The 18075-nt window shown below is 37.9% G+C and overlaps 1 protein-coding gene across 8 annotated transcripts in view, besides 1 other annotated feature; it reads right to left on the reverse strand.

Moving 5' to 3' along the window:
• The window catches only part of ITPR2 (inositol 1,4,5-trisphosphate receptor type 2), a 497843-nt gene that overhangs the window by 160820 nt on the left and 318948 nt on the right, over positions 1–18075 (reverse strand). Inside the window, exon 39 of one of the 8 annotated variants that reach the window (XM_017019269.3) lies at positions 1543–14460. The exons of the other annotated variants lie outside the window; for them this stretch is intronic. Coding sequence (XP_016874758.1) covers positions 14392–14460 — 69 coding nt within the window. The 3' untranslated portion in view covers positions 1543–14391. Of the gene's footprint in view, positions 1–1542; positions 14461–18075 lie in introns of those variants that run through there. 8 annotated transcript variants of the gene reach the window in all.
• Positions 13793–14564: an enhancer, noted in NCBI's record as "OCT4-NANOG hESC enhancer chr12:26662897-26663668 (GRCh37/hg19 assembly coordinates)". NCBI's record gives its function as "activates a minimal SCP1, AML or CMV promoter by ChIP-STARR-seq in primed H9 embryonic stem cells {active_cell/tissue: H9 hESC(primed)}" and the evidence as "EXISTENCE:reporter gene assay evidence [ECO:0000049][PMID:30033119]".

Raw genomic sequence — 18075 nt, forward strand, 5'->3', positions numbered from 1 at the left:
CAGAGGTGTTATTTCCATCTTGCAGGTAAGGAAACTGTGGCCCAAGAGCTTAAGTAATTGGCTGCAGATCATGCAGTTAACAGGTGATTGAGCAACACCTGATTCAACTCTTGGCTACAAAATCCAGCCATTTCTTCATGTCCCGCTGCACCCAACCTTCATGCTGTGACATGTAGCTCTCATTGCTCATTCACTTTCTCATATTTTGGCTATTCTTTCTCAAGTTCTTTAGGTATTATCCTCAGTTCTTTTGTTGTGCTCCTCTCCTGGCTGGCAATTTCATCTTCTCCTTAGTTGCACAATCACTTCTGCTGGTCTGCCTGCCAAATCTGTTTCCTCCAGCCTGAACCTTGCTTTCCTAAGCTTCTTATTCTGTTTCCACTTAGATTTCCTTACCTGTGTCTTGAGGTTCCACTGGCATCTCAAACTCAATTTTTCAGAACAGAATATTCCTTCTCTTTCAAATGTTTTCCCCTTAATTTTAATTTCTTTTAAGAAGATCACACCCATTCTCATAATCCCAGCACTTTGGGAGGCCGAGGCGGGCAGATCACGAGGTCAGGAGATAGAGACTATCCTGGCTAACACAGTGAAACCCCGTCTGTACTAAAAATACGAAAAAATTAGCCAGGCGTGGTGGTGGGCGCCTGTAGTCCCAGCTACTTGGGAGGCTGAGGCAGGAGAATGGCGTGAACCCAGGAAGCGGAGCTTGCAGTGAGCCGAGATTGTGACACTGCACTCCAGCCTGGGCGACAGAGCGAGACTCCATCTCAAAAAAAAAAAAAAGAAGATCACACCCATTTTCATCATTTAAGCTCCAAATTTAAGGGATCACCTACTACCCGCCCCCACCCCAACTTGATAATGATTTGAAATGTCAAATGACATGAAATCCTGCCCATTCTACCTTTCAGCTGTAGCTTCCAATAGAGTCTTCCTACATTATATTTTAACCAAATTGAACCATGTGATCATTTCTCTCTCTTTTTTTTTTTTTTTTGAGACGGAGTCTCGCTCTGTGGCCCAGGCTGGAGTGCAGTGGCACAATCTCGGCTCACTGCAAGCTCCGCCTCCTGGGTTCATGCCATTCTCCTGCCTCAGCCTCCAGAGTAGCTGGGACAACAGGTGCCCGCCACCACACCCAGCTAATTTTTTTGTATTTTTAGTAGAGACGTGGTTTCACCGTGTTGGCCAGGATGGTCTCGATCTCCTGACCTCCTGATCCGCCTGCCTCGGCCTCCCAAAGTGCTGGGATTACAGGCATGAGCCACCGTGCCCACAAAGCCTTCTATGTCTTACCTTTACTCCTATGATATTCAATTGTTTTAGGCACCATTTTAAGTCAATAAGATATAACCCACCCTCAAGAGTTACAATGAGATGAATGCAATATTCTGGAAGCATAAGAGGAGCTGTCGACTCTGAGGAGGCTCTACATGGCATAGCCTGTCTACTAACTTATGTGATCATCAGACAGACCTGCCTTGTGCACAGTTAACACTCAACTAACATGTCCTAAATGTCATAGTGCCAAGAATTTTTTTTTTTTTTTTTTTTGAAACGGAGTCTCACTCTGTTGCCCAGGCTGGAGTGCAGTGGTACAATCTCAGCTCACTGCAACCTCCACCTCCCTGGTTCAAGCAATTCCCCTGCCTCAGCCTCCCGAGTAGCTGGGATTACAGGCACACACCACCACGCCTGGCTAATTTTTTTTGTTTGTTTTGTTTTGTTTTTTGTATTTTTAGTACAGACTGGATTTCACCATGTTGGCCAGAGCTGGTCTCGAACTCCTGACCTCAGGCAATCTGCCGGCCTCAGCCTCCCAAAGTGCTGGGATTACAGGCATGAGCCACCGTGCCCGGTCAGTGCCAAGAATTCTAATAGACACTCAGAGTGTCTGGAGTTTGTTTATCCTTGTAACAACTTTTATTTATTGGTACTTAAATTCTTAGAACATAGACAGTTATTATTGCTTCCTATTTCATGTTTTCTTTCTTTAAGACCTCTTCATAATGGGGTGTAGTAAGTAAAGGTGGTGACTAGTCTCAAAAGAAACAGTGAAGTATAACAGCTTATTCTACCAAGGAATACAACTCTACTATTTACTATTCCTGATAACACTTAAGTGCAGCACCTAGAAGAAACATAAGACATGAAAATCGTCCTTACTGTTTCTTTTTTTAAGAGAAAGTCCTTTGAGTTGAATTAAATTCACCTGGCCAAAGAAAATTTCTTCCAAAAGGAAAGGAAAAACAAAACAAAGCTTTTCTTTGGAGTCAACGCCTTTGGGTAATTACTGCGACTCTCATTATAGTAGAAGGAGATGCTATGAAAAATCTTTTAGACCCATAAACTACAGGGTTGAAGTTATAAGTTGGGGAGAAAAATATGAGGTCACATTAACTGAAGCACTCATTTTTTTAAAGAGTAGCTCAGTTTGTTGTACTATTCATGGATCTCACCTCTACAGACCACTCACTCTAACCCTGTAGAAGACAGTTGGCCCACCTGTAATAACTAAAGCTGACAGTGTGAAAATCCAGGACTTTTTCTTGAAATTGCACAAGTCAGCATCACTGTCTGAAAGGGAACCTATTGTGAAGAGGACTGAACCCTTGAGAACTAGCTCCCCTTTTAGTCTCTGCAAGAACCTTTTATGTATTATTATTTCTATTATTATTTAGAGATAGGGTCTTGTTGTGTTGCCCAGGCTGGAGTACAGTGGCACAATCATAGCTCATTGCAACCTCACACTCCTGGCCTCAAGCAACCCTCTCACCTTGGCCTCCCAAAGTTCTGGGATTACAGACATGAACCTGGCCCTGGAAGAATCTTTTAATCACACCATTTATCACACTGCTACAAGAACCCAACCAACAGATAAACAAATAAATTTTTTTAAAGATGAAATAGAAAACTTTTTTACCATTTACTTTTTAAAATGCCGTTTATACTGCTAGAATAATGAAACTATTGAAAACCAACCAAAGAGTAGAATTATGTCACACCAAATAAAAATAAGCATCATATTTGTGATTATTTTTAAATTCTCTTCGGCAGATATAATCACAGTGCCTATCAGATTCATAGACATCAAAATCAAACGAGTAACACTCTTCTTATTCAATTATAGCCCCATTAGAAGCATCTATTTCCTCACCATGTAATATTCAGACTGCCATAGAAAAGGCAGGGGCTTCCTATTTTTCTGTTGTCAACTCTGAAGCCACTCTGCCTGGGTTTAAATCCCCTCTATGCCATATACTAACTGGGGATCTTAAACAAGTTACTTCATCACTCTGGGCCTCAGTCCCTCAATTGTCAAATGAAATTGTTAATATCTACTCTCAGAGGATTTCTGTGATAATTAAATAGTTAAAATTTACTGAAAGTACTTGGAACAGTTCCAAACACATAGTAAGTGCTATAAAAGTTGTACATTGTTGATGTTATCCCTGCTAGTATTAATATTATCCAGATCATGGGAACAGTCTACAACTTGCAAAGTGCTTTTGCAGACACTTTCTTATGTTATACCAAACCTTCCCACAAAAGTGAAATAAATTTCCAGTATATTAAGAAAATGTGAAAAATAATAAATGATAAACTGCCCCTAAATCCTAGCTTTTTAACTATTAATCAGTCCTTAGAATTATATACTTATTAGCTAACATGGCAAAGTCACCCTAAAGCATGAATATACTTCACTATATAAAATGTACCCTTACAACTTCAACTAAAGTTGGAACAAATTCTGTCTTGGTTCAAACTTCAGAGTTTTGTGCTAAGACAAACTCTGGTGCTAAAAATGATTAATGAATAGGTATAAACAGAACAAGATTCTGTTATGTCTTAGTAATCTTCATTTAAGAATAAAAAAATTCAGATATTGCTACATCACAAGTTCAGCAGAAACTGACTTCTCTTGTCAACTATCCAGTTCTGACTTAAGCGGTGAGAGACATGTACTGTGTCCCAATTTGCTTTTGGGGCATTCTTGATAGTTTGCACTATCTGTGCAGTGGTGGTAGCTTAAATGTGAGTCATTTCCCCAAATTACTTTAATTCAAAAGTAACTGCAGAATCATTGTCAGAAATTCTGGTGCCAGGGTTGCAAATAATTGTCTCAGAGCTATAATTGCCATGGCAGAAATGAGGGAAGAACTAAAAGCACATTAGGCCATTATGAAAAGAATTTCACCACAGTTGAGAAGTTTGACTTCTGTGCTGGTTCTTCAAATCCAAAATGCATTCCTGATGCACCTCCCATGGAAGGTCTCTTTGCTGAGTGAGGACAAGCAAGGAATGTCCTTTACAGCCTTTTCAATATCAGAGTCAATTCCAGGCCACAAGACACTACTTTTAGCCAATGTCTTCATGTGAACACATCCCAGATGTGCTAAATGTAATGTAGCCAAGAAAACTAACAACCACCTTCTGAAATTACAACAAAATATCTCCATAAAAAGACATCTTTTGTGGCCAGAGAAGTCCTGCTGATGGTTTGTGAATATCTGGGAGGATTGGGTTTTTCCCACCCACTCCCTGTTACACCGAGTCCAATGCATCAAAAATTAAAAAGTTCAGAAATCATTGCCTTTCATGGATAGAAAGGATAATCAAATTTATGCATCCTAGAAAGGACTAAAATTTTGTTTCATTTTTGAGAAAGCACAACTCTGTTTGCCTTAATGGGGAGTTAATAGCCTTAGGAATGAAGACTTCAAGGATGTGTGATATTTGAGGTATAGCTACCCACATTCATTCCCATCCCCTTAGAAAAACAATTTACTAAAGTAATATTTTTTCATTATGTAAAATATAATCAAGATATCATGAAAAAACACAACCAGCATCCTAGAAAACTAAGTCCTCAACTAGAAATTCAAAATGTAATAAAAACTGCAAACTAAGGATGCCCAATTTAAGACTTATCCTCAAAGATTCATGATAAGCTACCAATCAGCTGAGACAAGATCTACAAGGAGGTGATGATAGGTACCTGTTAGTCTCCCCATAGTCCCATTTTAACATTAAACTTGGTATTAGCATAATTTGTGTTTCTGTAACCTTTTGGCTTAGTAACAATACGTCTGATTAGGTATTTTTCCTCATTTGAATTGCCAGGGGTAAAAAGGTACATTTCTCATTTCAATACATTAATGTAACAACTGTATCTTTGTGGAGTGATATTCTGTCCATCGTTATAATCAACTATATTTTCAGATAACTCCTTCGGGAGAATATGGTCAATCTCCTATAATCTAGCTGTTTAATCATTTGAACATCTTAGTCTCCCTGTCCAAGAAGTTGTAAGTCAATTTCTCTCCCTGTTGCCTTTGCCTAGCTTTCTTAAGACAGGAAACACAAATTTCAACAGGACTAGTTATGTGCACTCAGAAGATGCTCTTCTCATCAACACAATGACATACTCATTACAATCTTGAAAAATATATGATGTCTCAATGATTCTAGTAAAGAGCCTTGTGAAAAAACAAGACTGTGGAAAATGTTAGATCCAAATATTCATTCACCATAATGGCAACCTACTTCCAAATTTCTTCTTTCCTTGTTTTTATTGATTGTAAAGACATTTATTACATTTCTACCATGTGTCAGGAAGTAGAAAAGTGGATGCAAAAAGCAATTCTGCAGCATATGCTGAAAGAATTTTCAGATATGTGGAGTTGAAACATATGGCACTGTTTTCCAATATAAATAATCCTCACCAGACCATTTGATTCCATTGGTGAAAATTAAATGTTTAAACAGTAAATGATGAGGTTTAAATATTTGATGCTGCTGCTGAATGAAAGAGTGACTTCAATAACCACTCTGAGTTTATCAAATATCCTAGCCTCAAGACAAACAGGGTTGCTGAGAAGGTTTTGTTAGGAGATGATTCTATACTCCATAGATAGCAAGGAATAAAGCAAACTGTATTTGTTTTCCTTGGGGCATTAATTAAAACCTCCCAGTATTTGAATTCCAGGAAGCATACTAACTAACATGAAACCCAACAGACCCTTCTACCTCAACCATTTTAAATACAGGGTTTGCTGAAATTCAGAGTTTGAGAACTTATGCAATCCCTCACCAATAGGACTTAAGAATGGATTTTACTGCTTGTAATTGTTTAGTTTTCAGAATAAGCAGTCTTCTGACTTTAAGCTGAGAGGAGGGTAAGTAAGCAAGAAGTGAGCAGACAAGCTTTAGATACCATCTCCTTAATGAAGGAAAATGACTGTATTCACATAACATAAATCAGTGCCTCATAAAATCACACTCAAAGACAGTGGCACACAATCATTAAAGTGAAGCCCATAGTCCCTGGTACACAGTATAAAAACCTACTAGAGTACTGTTTGTTACTGAAAAGAATGAAATCAGTGCTGTCAGTGCAGGCGTGTGCATGCTCACCAAAGACTGGGGAAAATGGAACTTCAAGAGGTAATTTCAAAGCTTCTGCAAAGACTATGTTGCTGAGTGGGGGGTAAGGCAAAGTATGTAACTCAGTAATGGACTCAGCTTACAGTGCATCCCAGAGAGTACAAGAGGAAAGAGCAGGAGATGGAATGAGATTTAAATAAATGAGAAGACTGACACTGATCTGAATAGCAATATGAACTTCAGTGGGAGAAAGGTCTTCCTCCTAGACAATGGGGAAAGTCATAACTAGTTTGCTGTTTTAAAGTTCTATCCCCAGATTCTGTGATGTCTGTTATATTTCCATAATCATTTAGTGAAGACAGGCACAACTTTGGAAGGTGGTGTCACAGGAGATGAGGAACAATACATACGGGGACATATCACCAGCACTATCCTGCTCTATATTGGCCTTCCTGTTTCTATGGAGTTTCTTGCATTCTCAACAGTAGTGCAGTCCTTGATCTTCAAGCTGTGACCTCCTGACCCACAAACAAGAGAGTGTGGCTGGTTCACAGGGCAGTGAGACGAGTGCATGGCTCCGAAGAGCTGGCAAGGAAACAATGGGGTAGAAGACCCACTGCCCCCCACCAACACACACACACACACACACACACACACACGGATTAAGTGAGAGACAAAGACCTCATTATTTTTCCCCAAAATACTAGAAATAGATTATTCTTAAAAGAGAGGAAGAAAACTGGCACTGGTATTACTTATCAATCAATGCAATATTTGACAAAATATGTATGAAGCTAAATTTTAATAAATTCAGAATACATTTAGAAGTTCCTCAGATAGGACAGTCTATGGAATCCATGGAATAGAGGAGTTCTACATGGCACAACTCCAAAGGGAAACCTTGAGAATTAAATGAGATAATATCTATACACACTTTAATACATAAGAAGTTCAGTTTATGAATGCTCCCGGCATTGGCAATGACAATGCACGTTAGTGGACCTTAGTGGAAATGATGTCTCAGAGAGTAATGTGATTGGTTTGAGTCTGGGTTCTTCCACTTATTGGCTTTGTGATCTAAAGAATTTTAATTAACTGCCCCAAGGCTCAGTTTCCCCATCTGTGGATAATAATATTTACACTGCAAGGCTATTTAAGGATTAGGAAATTAAATAGGAGAAGCTTTATGTTCTTGGCCCATAGCAAGTACTGAATAAACAGCTACTGTAATATTTTATTTTATGTTTAAAGGAAAGCATTAATAAGTTTCAATCTGGGGAAGACTTGTACAATTGATGACATAAAGAGGACATTACAATGCCCAGTGCCACAAGACAGCCATGGTTTTCACAGCTGACATCAATATCCAGCTCCAACCTTCTATAATTTTTCAAGAGAAGGCAAATGAAAAACAGCATTCATTTTGTGAAAGACTACTTTGAAGCCAATTTGATCAGTATGCTACAATTTCTTAAAAATAACACTTACTTGTGGATAGGTTTCAATCACCCCTATTACATGTACAAAGCAGAATTCTTCAGAAGATAATTTAGACAGCCTTTCCTTGAAGTAGTGTTAAATGGAAAACCAATATTCCATGTTCTGTGGGAAAAGAGCTATTTTCCCTCCTATTTAGTTTTAACACAAGAAATGTATTAAGTATATTTATAAAGTTATTATCAGCAACAATTGTTCATTAGTGGAAAGGCTGTGCTTCCTAACACATATCCATATGTCTCTCCATATCCACAGGATGCCCCTCTAAGTCATTGCTCACTTAACATTCAGAGGCTTGCAAAACAACAGATGACTGGTATTCAGAATACATGACTATACAAAGAGTGTTTATAAATCATTAAGAATCTTGTAGAAAAGCTGACAGAAGAACTGAACTGGCATTTCATATAAGAAACACATACAGCCAATAAACATGAAAAAAAATGCTCACCTTCATTGGTAATCAAAGAAATGCTAATAAAATGGTGGAGACACCATTTTATACCCAATAAATTGACAAAAATTAAGAAGTCTTACAAAATCAAGTGTTGAAGAGGACATGGATCAAGAGAATGTGGGATGCAAATTGGTACAACTACTTTGGAAATCACATCAATGTATGCTCTCAGCCACCAATTTCACTCCCAGGGGAAACATGCTCAAGGAAACAAATAGTATCCCATCCTAGACATTTATATCTGCATGATAGCAATAGCAAAACAAACAACAAGCAAAACATCACCTGGAATCAACCCAAATAACAAGTGACAGGAAAATTGACAAATAAATTATAGAATATTCCCAAACTGGAATATTATAGAGTAGTAAACATGGATTAAACAGAGCCTCACCGTAACACACAACTACTTTCATGAATGTTAGAAATAGAATGATGACAGGGAAAAAAAGGGAAGTCCTAGAAGATATGCAGTATGGTATTCAAAACGTGAGCTACCTCTGGAAGGGGAGGCCAGAACACATATGTAGACACAAGTTACAGGTAATGTTCTCATTCTTCATTTGGCTGAGGTCATGAGTCTTTATTATATTTAATGCTTTATAGCTAAAATTTATGTTGTATATATTTCTTCATAAAAATTCAATATTATAGGAAAAGAAAATGCTCAAGAACTATTAGACATCATGATGACAGCTTCCTACATAGGATGTTCTGTTACTTTCCAGCTCTCTTTGAATCCTGGCTAAAATCCATAGCATTACTTTAGGGGATGATACACAATGCAACACCTACAGATTTGAGCCACTGTCTCATTGTCTTCTGAACAATCCACATCTTCCTTCTGCCACACAGCTTCTTAGTGTCTTATCATGCTCCCTTCTGCTTCAAGACATTAACAGATGATGTTCTCTTTCACCAGCCATGCTTTCTGTCCCCCGACCCTGAGTCCTCCTGGCTTTACTTAATTCCTACTTAACCTTTAGATCTCAGCTCAACCATATCTTCCTCAGAGTCATCCTCTCTAACCGCACCAAGTCAATTCTCATTAAGTCCTCTTATAATAGCATGTATATCACCATGTGCTTTAGCTGTATATTTATTTATACCAATCTTTCAATGATTTCTATCACCCTCTATTAGATTATAAGTACCATGAGGACAGGAACTATACCTTTCTTTTTTTCCTTTTTGGCTGACCATTGATTCCAACACCTAGCCCCAAAGCTAGCAAACTAAGTACTCAATAAATATTTTTGACTGAATGTATGAATCAATGATTTTGAATGAGAGATCACTCAATTTATCAACAAAATTTGATGCTGAGTGCCAACCTATTCAAGGATGGCTGATATTTGTTGTATATCATGTCTGATAACTTTGGAAAACATTTGAGATTTATTCAATGTTACTTGCATATTACATATTTTTAGTACAAGGCTGGGTGCCTTGTATTAATACTAAAACTACAAGGCACTCAGCCTTGTACTAAAAATATTCAAATATTTAGCATAGTACTAAAAATACAAGATGCCCAGCCTTGTACTAAAAATACTTAATATGTAAATATTACATTGTATTACTGGCTCATGCCTGTAATCCCAGCACTTTAGGAGGCCAAGGCAGAAGGATTTCTTGAGCCCAGGAGTTCAAGACCAGCCTAGGCAATATAGGGAGACCTCTTCTCTACCAAATTAAAAAAAAAAAAATTAGCCTGGTGTGATAACATACACCTATGGTCCCAGTTACTCAGGAGGCCCAGGCAGGAGGATCACTTGAGCTCAGGAGTTTACGACTGGCCTGGGAAACTTAGCAAGACTTCATCTCTAATAAAAATAGGAAAATAATCTGGGTGTGGTGACATACGCCTGTGGTCCCAACTACTAGGAGGCTGAGGTGGGAGGATCGCTTGAGCCTGGGAAATCAAGGCTGCAGTGAGGCATGATTGCACACTGCACTCCAGCCTGGGAGACCCTGTCCAGCCTGGGAGTAGGAATCCTGTCTCAAAAAAAAAAAAAAAAAAAAAAAATTAGCACACAAAACTCATTACCTATGGTCGGCTGAAAGAAGGAAATTGTGTTGAAATCCAGCAAGCAAAATGTTATAAAACTTAAAAGACAGACAATTTCAATATTTAGCCTGAAAGATTAGAAGGTAAAATACTAATTAATGATCACAAATGTAGCCTAATGCAAGAGAACACACTAATATCCCAAAAGTCCAGTCCAGGTTATCCCCCTGCTACAATATGTCTACTGCAATAGGATTTTCGTATTTTACTAAAAAACAAAGAAACCACCTTAAGGCTGCACGTCATACAAGGATCTGACTCAGCAACATAATTCCTAATATTATGTGAATATGTCAATTTGAAGAGATACAAATTCACTATTCTCTTTTAAAATATGTTTGAATGTGTCATAATTTATAATAGAAGATAAAGATAATTCTTTTACCTCATTTTTCCTCATGAAATAAATCATTTCATTTCTTTAGTGTTCATTGCTACATTAAAAATTATATAAATCTAATCTTAATCATTTCTTGCATCTATTTGTCCAGGAGGCCACATATTTGGCCTACTTTAATATGAGCAATTATCTGCTCCCATGAGCTCCTAATTGTGTTCTACATGTAAACCACAATTTTCAAAGAATTTTGCAGAGAGAAAACTATGAGACAATGATTTAGAACTAATGAAAAATAGAAATCCTTTAAATTTTCATCAACATTTCAAAGCAGTAACACAATTATTACTAAAAGAAAATGAGGTCTCAGTTCAAACAAACCTAGAGATGCCTGAGCTAATTAAAGGGGCCAAGTACCAAATGCTTACCTTAGAAAGGGTCTTTTTAAGAAAGGCTTTATTAGACTTATTATGGTCTTATGAATGTTATTTTGGAAATCAGTTTGATTCCCTGTGGCATACACCGTGATAGATATTTCACTACTTTAATGCATTTAGAACTGTAACTATAATCCGGGGCACTAAGAAAGTAAACGTTTATTTTTAATAACATGCAAAGCACATTTGCTGGTAAGGAAGCATAGCCGCTTGGTAGTACTGTGGTGCTAGCCTCTGAATTATAAATGTGGATTTTCACAGGTTTGTGATTCACCTATTGAAATTAGCTTCTGGAAAAAACAAGATGAAACATTCTCAGGCTGAAAAGAAAGCTTAAAGTATTTAATAAACATTATTTGAGGTAAACCAGCTTTTCTGAATCAGTGAATTGAAGAGAGGAAGAATCATTTCAGTGAACTACAGGTTGCTGATGCTGATCTAATACTCCTAAGGTGTGGAAGAATGAGTCAATGAATATCTCTCTACTCTTCTCTCTCTGTCTCTGTGTGTGTGTGTGTGTGTGTGTGTGTGTGTATGTCAGTGTGTATGTGTGTAATATATACGTATATCTATTTTTGTACTCATGGATATTGATGCATATTTGTAAAATGAATTAGGTCTTTGAAGTATGAAGATTCTTGCTATCTCCCCTGGGTGTTGGTAAGCATAAATGACTGGGTTGCCTTCAAAAAACACTGAGCAAGCACATCTCTTTTCTGCTTTATTTCATTGATTCTAACACACCCATTTCTCTCCTGCATGTTTTAACATTTCTAAATTACAGGTCACTTTAAAATCCATGGTGTGCTTTAGTTTAATTGGCAGCATTTATTTATTTTTAGGGATACATAAAATTATGGTATGCCTTATTTATGATTGATGGTATTTTATGATTGATGAACTATATTGAACGAAAAAATAAGTACACCTTTTAATCTGGCATTGTATCAAATACTCATTGCTTCCCAGTATGTGGCATCACTATTATACCTGTTTTCTAGTTAAAGTCAAGTAAGATGAAAACATACAGAAATTTAGAGATTTAACCTTTGCAATCGAACAGTTATTTCAGTGTTTTCCCTTTTTCATGATACATTTTCTATATGTAGCCCAATTCACTACTGTAAATTTTGATATCATAGGCCCCTACATTAAAATTAGTAAGGAAAGTGACAATATTGATAGAGATGAGAGGTATATTTATCTTACAAATCAAGAGTAATGGAAAAGCAAACAAGTAAGAGACACACATTGAACTAATTTATGAACCATGGACAATATTAAATTTCTCTCCTTTTAAAAAAAGTTGCCCCTTGATACCATCTCACACCCACTAGAATGGCTAAAATAAGTGATCTGGGGACACGGAAAAAGCTGACATTGTGATCTGAACAATAACACATGTTGGTGAGGATGTGGAGAAATTGGGACCCTCATACACTGCTAATGGGAATAGAAAATGGTGCAGCCACTTGGCAGTTCCAAAAAATTAAACGTAGAGTTACCATACATTCCGGCAATTCCACTCCTAAGTATTTACCCTAAAGAAATTAAAACAGAGGTCCACACAAGAACTTGTACAGAATGTTCATTGTGGCATGATCCATAATAGTAGAGACAATCCAAATGTCCACCAAATGATGACTGGATAAACACAATGTGGTATATGCACATAATAGAATATTATTTGGCAATAAAATGGGACTGAAGTGCTGACACCTGCTAGAACATGTATGAGCCTTGAAAACATTATGCCAAGTGAAGGGAGGCAGTCACAAAAGACCACATATTGTATGATTCCATTTATATGAAATGTCCAGAAGAGGCAAATTCATAGAGACAAAAAGAGACAGAAAATAGATAGCCAAGGGCTGGGGCTGGGAAGAATGAAGAGTGACTGCTAAGAGGCATGGGGTTTCTTTTAGGGGTGATGAAAATGTTCTAAAATTAAACAGCAGTATTGGTTGTAAATCTGTAAATAAACCAAAAAACACTAAATTGTACACTTTTGTAGGGTGAATTTTATAGTATGTGAATATCTCAATAAAGCTGTTACCAAAATATAAAATAAATCCATTAGATTGGTTAAGGAAAATCACTCCTTAAATAACATTAAAGTACATCTCTTAAGGAAAATAATGTCAGTTCTGTCCAAATTTTTGCTAAGCAGCTGAGCTGCTATTTCATAAAGTTCTGCATTTAGGTGCATCTGTGCAACAGATATATTAGAATGGCACGTTTTGAATGTTACATCTGTTAGTAAAATGTAGACAGGCTCAAATTGCTAATTAAACATGAAATTGTATGTGTCAATTAGGAGCCAATTTCCTTTTAAAACTGTCTAATGTTTAGGGCACAATAAATCAAGCTAGTATCTGGAACTGTTTGAGTCTTGACCTGTGTGGGAAGGCGGTCCAGTGCACTGAATATAGGCTAGACAGTTTCCATGGATACCTCACACTACTTGATGTGTAGAAACTCAAAATTATAAACAACTTCATGGAAATTATGGTTCACAAAATATGTTAGTTAAAAAAGCCCTCATCTTCCTAAAAAAAGATCCCAGAATTTATTTTGTTAACAAGTAGATAAGGGTTTTGTGTGTGTGTGTGTGTGTGTGTGTGTGTGTGTGTGTGTGTGTGTGGTGGGGGGTGGGGGTGGGGAGAGAAGGGAAACAAATTTTTAAAAGGACAGCTTTTAAGTGCCTTTGTAATTCATATGGGAGGAAGAGACATTCAAAATGTTGCTCTCATCATAAGCTTTATAGCAAACCTCAAGAGTTTAAAGACAGTTTGCTTTTACAGGAACTAACCATATTGAATTATGCCAGCTGAGTTTAATTAATCTAGCCACTGCATACTAATATGCTAGTCTTTCCAAATAAACGTACACTATAATTACAACCAGGCTACTCCACCCACCATCCTTTTACTCCTTCTCATAAAATAAGACTACACATCTTCCAGATGTGACAGAAAAGCCATAGTGGTATTTGCCAACCATTTCAGAATTAAACATAATAAAGGATGAGAAGAAGACATGTAGCTTCCATAAGAAAAGAAGATGCTTCCCACAGACTTTGTTGACAAGACCTGACCACACACCTGTTTACTTACAGCTTTAGCAGGCTAGAGAAGGAGGAGTGAGAAGATCACAATGTCAGCTTTTTCCATGTCCCCAAATCACTTCCACTGTTAAGCAGTCAGGTCGCAGAATGCCAAAGACAATCAGCATGCACAGAAATGCAGTCATTTTCTTTGGACCACTTAATCTAGTCATTACAGGAGGACCCGCAGGAGTAAGGTGAAGAACACAAATTGTTTTAATAATGGAGACAAATGAATCAGTAAATTCAATTTGAATTAAACTAATATTTGATTACGTATCAGGGCAGTTTCACAAATGTCATCTCATTTGGTGCTCATAGCAAACTAACACCTAGCTTAGCAGCAAGAGTCAACTGCATTATTTGCTCTTCCGAAATATTTTTGAGGAGTGTGCATTTGTTTTAATTTAAAGCAAAATAAAGACAGCTTTTTGAAAAATTATAAAATGTTCACTAGACGTGTTGGGGGCAGAAGTTGTTGGTAAAAAATCACAAAAAGAACTGTACCAAAAAATACATTAAGTATATCTCTGCTCTAATAACATTTTCTATGCTATTATCAACTCTTCTCCCCTATTTCAAATTCACTATCATCTTGACTTCCCCAAATTCTGTTTTCTCAGTCTCTTTTTTCCTGAGCTGTAACCAATCGTTTCCCTGCAATCCTTCTTGCTTCTTCTGGGTGTCTAATTGTTTAAAAGTAAAAGAGTGCTCCACAAGTATCATCCCATCAGTGGAACAGGAGCATCCTTCACACCTGTGTGTGTGTTCCACTGCTCCCAGGGCCTTTTCCACCAAATCCTCCTTGCTCTTCTGGTCTGTTTAATGTCACTGTCTTGGAGAAGCTGTTTCTGACACCCCTCCCCTAGCCCAGTTTGTGCCCTCTGGTTGCACACTCATACAGTACTCTGGACTTCTCCTTCAGAGTAAATTTAAAACAGAAATTAATTAATCCCTGTCCAACTATTTGGTTGGTATGATTTTCTCACTAAACGCCAAGAAGGTAGAGTGATTGTTCATCAGTGCCTTTCCAGGGCTGAGCAGACATTCAATAACTTTTTTTGTAAGTATTTACTGTCTCACCCATTTTTTTTCTATTTCCAAATACCTCTGCATTCTGTCATTTCCATAATTTCCTAATAGATTTTTTTCATAGAATTCATATTCTTGCTTTTCAAAATCACCTAAAAAGTCATACTATGACATAAACATTCTTTATTCTATTCTGACCTCTGATGAATAGAAAGTAATTACTCTCAGCATATGTGGGACCAATGTGTAAACATGTGTGGGACCACGTTTGGGACATGCGTGAGGCCAACGCATAGACAGCTGGAGGCTGGTAGAACATAGCTACAAATCAAGTCTTGAAGTCTAAGCCATCTCTGTCCACCATTTTCGCCCTCAGGCCCCATCAGTTTCTTTAGTTCTGTCCTCCTCAACGTCTTTCCACACCATCTTACTATTCCTGACACTAAAATCTCCTTCTCTGAAACATCTGTCATCCTAAACAACCTCCCAGTACCTCTCTGCCTCATCTACTCTTCATCTCATTTCCACCCTCAGTCAAAAACATCTTTTGCTCTTGCTTTACCTCTGTGAAAGGAAAATAAATCCCAGGACCCCAAAATGACTAAGCCAACGGGAAAATCAAGCTGGGAACTGTGTCAGGCAAACCTGCCTCCCATTTTATTCCTAAATAAGATAGCTACAAAGATAAAAAAAAAAAAAAAAAAAGCTGCAGATCTCCCTCACAATTTGCCCACAAGAAGATTCCTTGTGGGCCTCCAGATCTTTACCCTAAAACAAGTCTGTTGAATTTCACTCTGGCAATGTAAATTGATAGCTTATCTTCACAGGTGCGGGACAAAGGACAAAACTCAAAGTCATCTCTCTGTTCACCTGAGATAAATGCATACCTGATTGCTTCCTCTGCCCTATTGCTTATGTAAAAATGCAGATTCACTGGGCCAGACTAAGGCATAAGTGATTATTTCTCTACCCACCCCCCACATGTAAATCGTGTATCGAGTGAAAGGCTGATCAAAGACTCAAAAGAATGCAACCTTTTGTCTCTTATCTACCTATAACCTGGAAGCCCCTGCTTTGAGTTGTCTCACCTTTCTGGACCTAGCCAAAGTACATCTTACACATATTGATTGATGTCTCATGTCTCCCAAAAATGTAGAAGAGTAAGCTGTGCCCTGACCACCTTGGGCACATGTCGTCAGGATCTCCTAAGGCTGTGTCATGGGTGCATCCTTAACCTTGGCAAAATAAACTTCTTACATTGACTGAGACCTGTCTCAGATACTTTTGGGTTCACACCTCTCAACGGACAGGGAAGGGAAACAATTTTTTTTTTTTTTTTTTTGAGACAGAGTTTTGCTCCGTCACCCAGGCTAGAGTGCAGTGGCGCGATTTCGGCTCACCACAACCTCCGCCTCCCAGGTTCAAGCAATTCTCTGCCTCAGCCTCCCAAGTAGCTGGGATTACAGGTGCCCACCAACTCGAGTAGCTGGGATTACAGGTGCCCGGGTAACATTTTGTATTTTTAGTAGAGACGGGGTTTCACCATCTTGGCCAGGCTGATCTTGAACTCCTGACCTCGTGATCCACCCGCCTAGGCCTCCCAAAGTGCTGGGATTACCGGTGTGAGCCACCGCGCCCGGCCGGGAAACAATTTTTAACTCTAAAGCATATGAGCAGATACCTTACTATAAGACACTCTGCAGTTACCATTGTGAAACACAGAATGCTGCCTGTATGCCCAGGGGATTTCACAGATTTATGAAAGCCATTTCCATCCTGCATTTTAAAAGCCCTTGCTTAAATTCGAATTAAGATTCATTATGCTTTTGCCATGATACTAACATTTTAACCCAGTGAAAAAAGAATATTAATATTCTTTTTATTCTGGAAAATGTAAAAAGTTTTCTAAAGATCCAGTGTCAAAGACTCATTAGCTAGTTTTACCTTAAATAATATAGGCCAGTTTGGGTCACTCTGAATGGGCAATTACTTCCTGTCCTGGGCAGCTCCAGCTGTTACTCTTCCTCGGATACTTTGTTCAGACCTCTCTCTCTCTCTCTGCAGAAACCCTGACTTTGAGCATAAGCCAGCCATGAAGCTGCCATGAAAAGTCATCTGGGAATATAATTTCATCTACACCCAAGTTTTCCAGGTTTCTCTTGTCTCAGCACTCCCTGTTTCCAGCACCTTTGCCTTATGTCTTCTATCCAATTTTTCCACTGTCTCCAAATTTCCTTTATTGCCAATTATCACACACACACACACACACACACACACACATGCAACCCTACATTTTTCCCCCGCCGTGGTAGTCCCTGAACAAAAGTCTCATACATAAAAGCTACCCAGGAGGAAAATCAACTGACTTCAGGCCACATGTATGTCATCAACTATTTCAAAATGATCTCTAACATCCACTTGTTGTGTTTCCACCAAATTTGTCATTTGTCCGTTTGTCCCATGTTTGAACTTCTGAAAATATTTCCCTTTCACAATGATGGCTGAAGGATTAATAAGCCTCCTTAGAAATCTGTCAATTAAATCTGTATCTTAAGAACAATGTGATACTTATAAACCATAGACTGCATAATTTTAGTCTTATTTTTTAATATTTTATCAGCTATGGAAGAAGAGTGAGCTAAATTCCTTAACGTAATCAGCTCTTTTGTTAAAAGCTTCCAACTAACTACGATGTTTTTTTAAAAAAAGAAAGAGTTTAGAAAAAGGGAGGGAAAAGAAGAAAGGGTA

This window comes from Homo sapiens, chromosome 12 (genome assembly GCF_000001405.40).
Source record: "Homo sapiens chromosome 12, GRCh38.p14 Primary Assembly".
Lineage (NCBI taxonomy): Eukaryota > Metazoa > Chordata > Mammalia > Primates > Hominidae > Homo > Homo sapiens.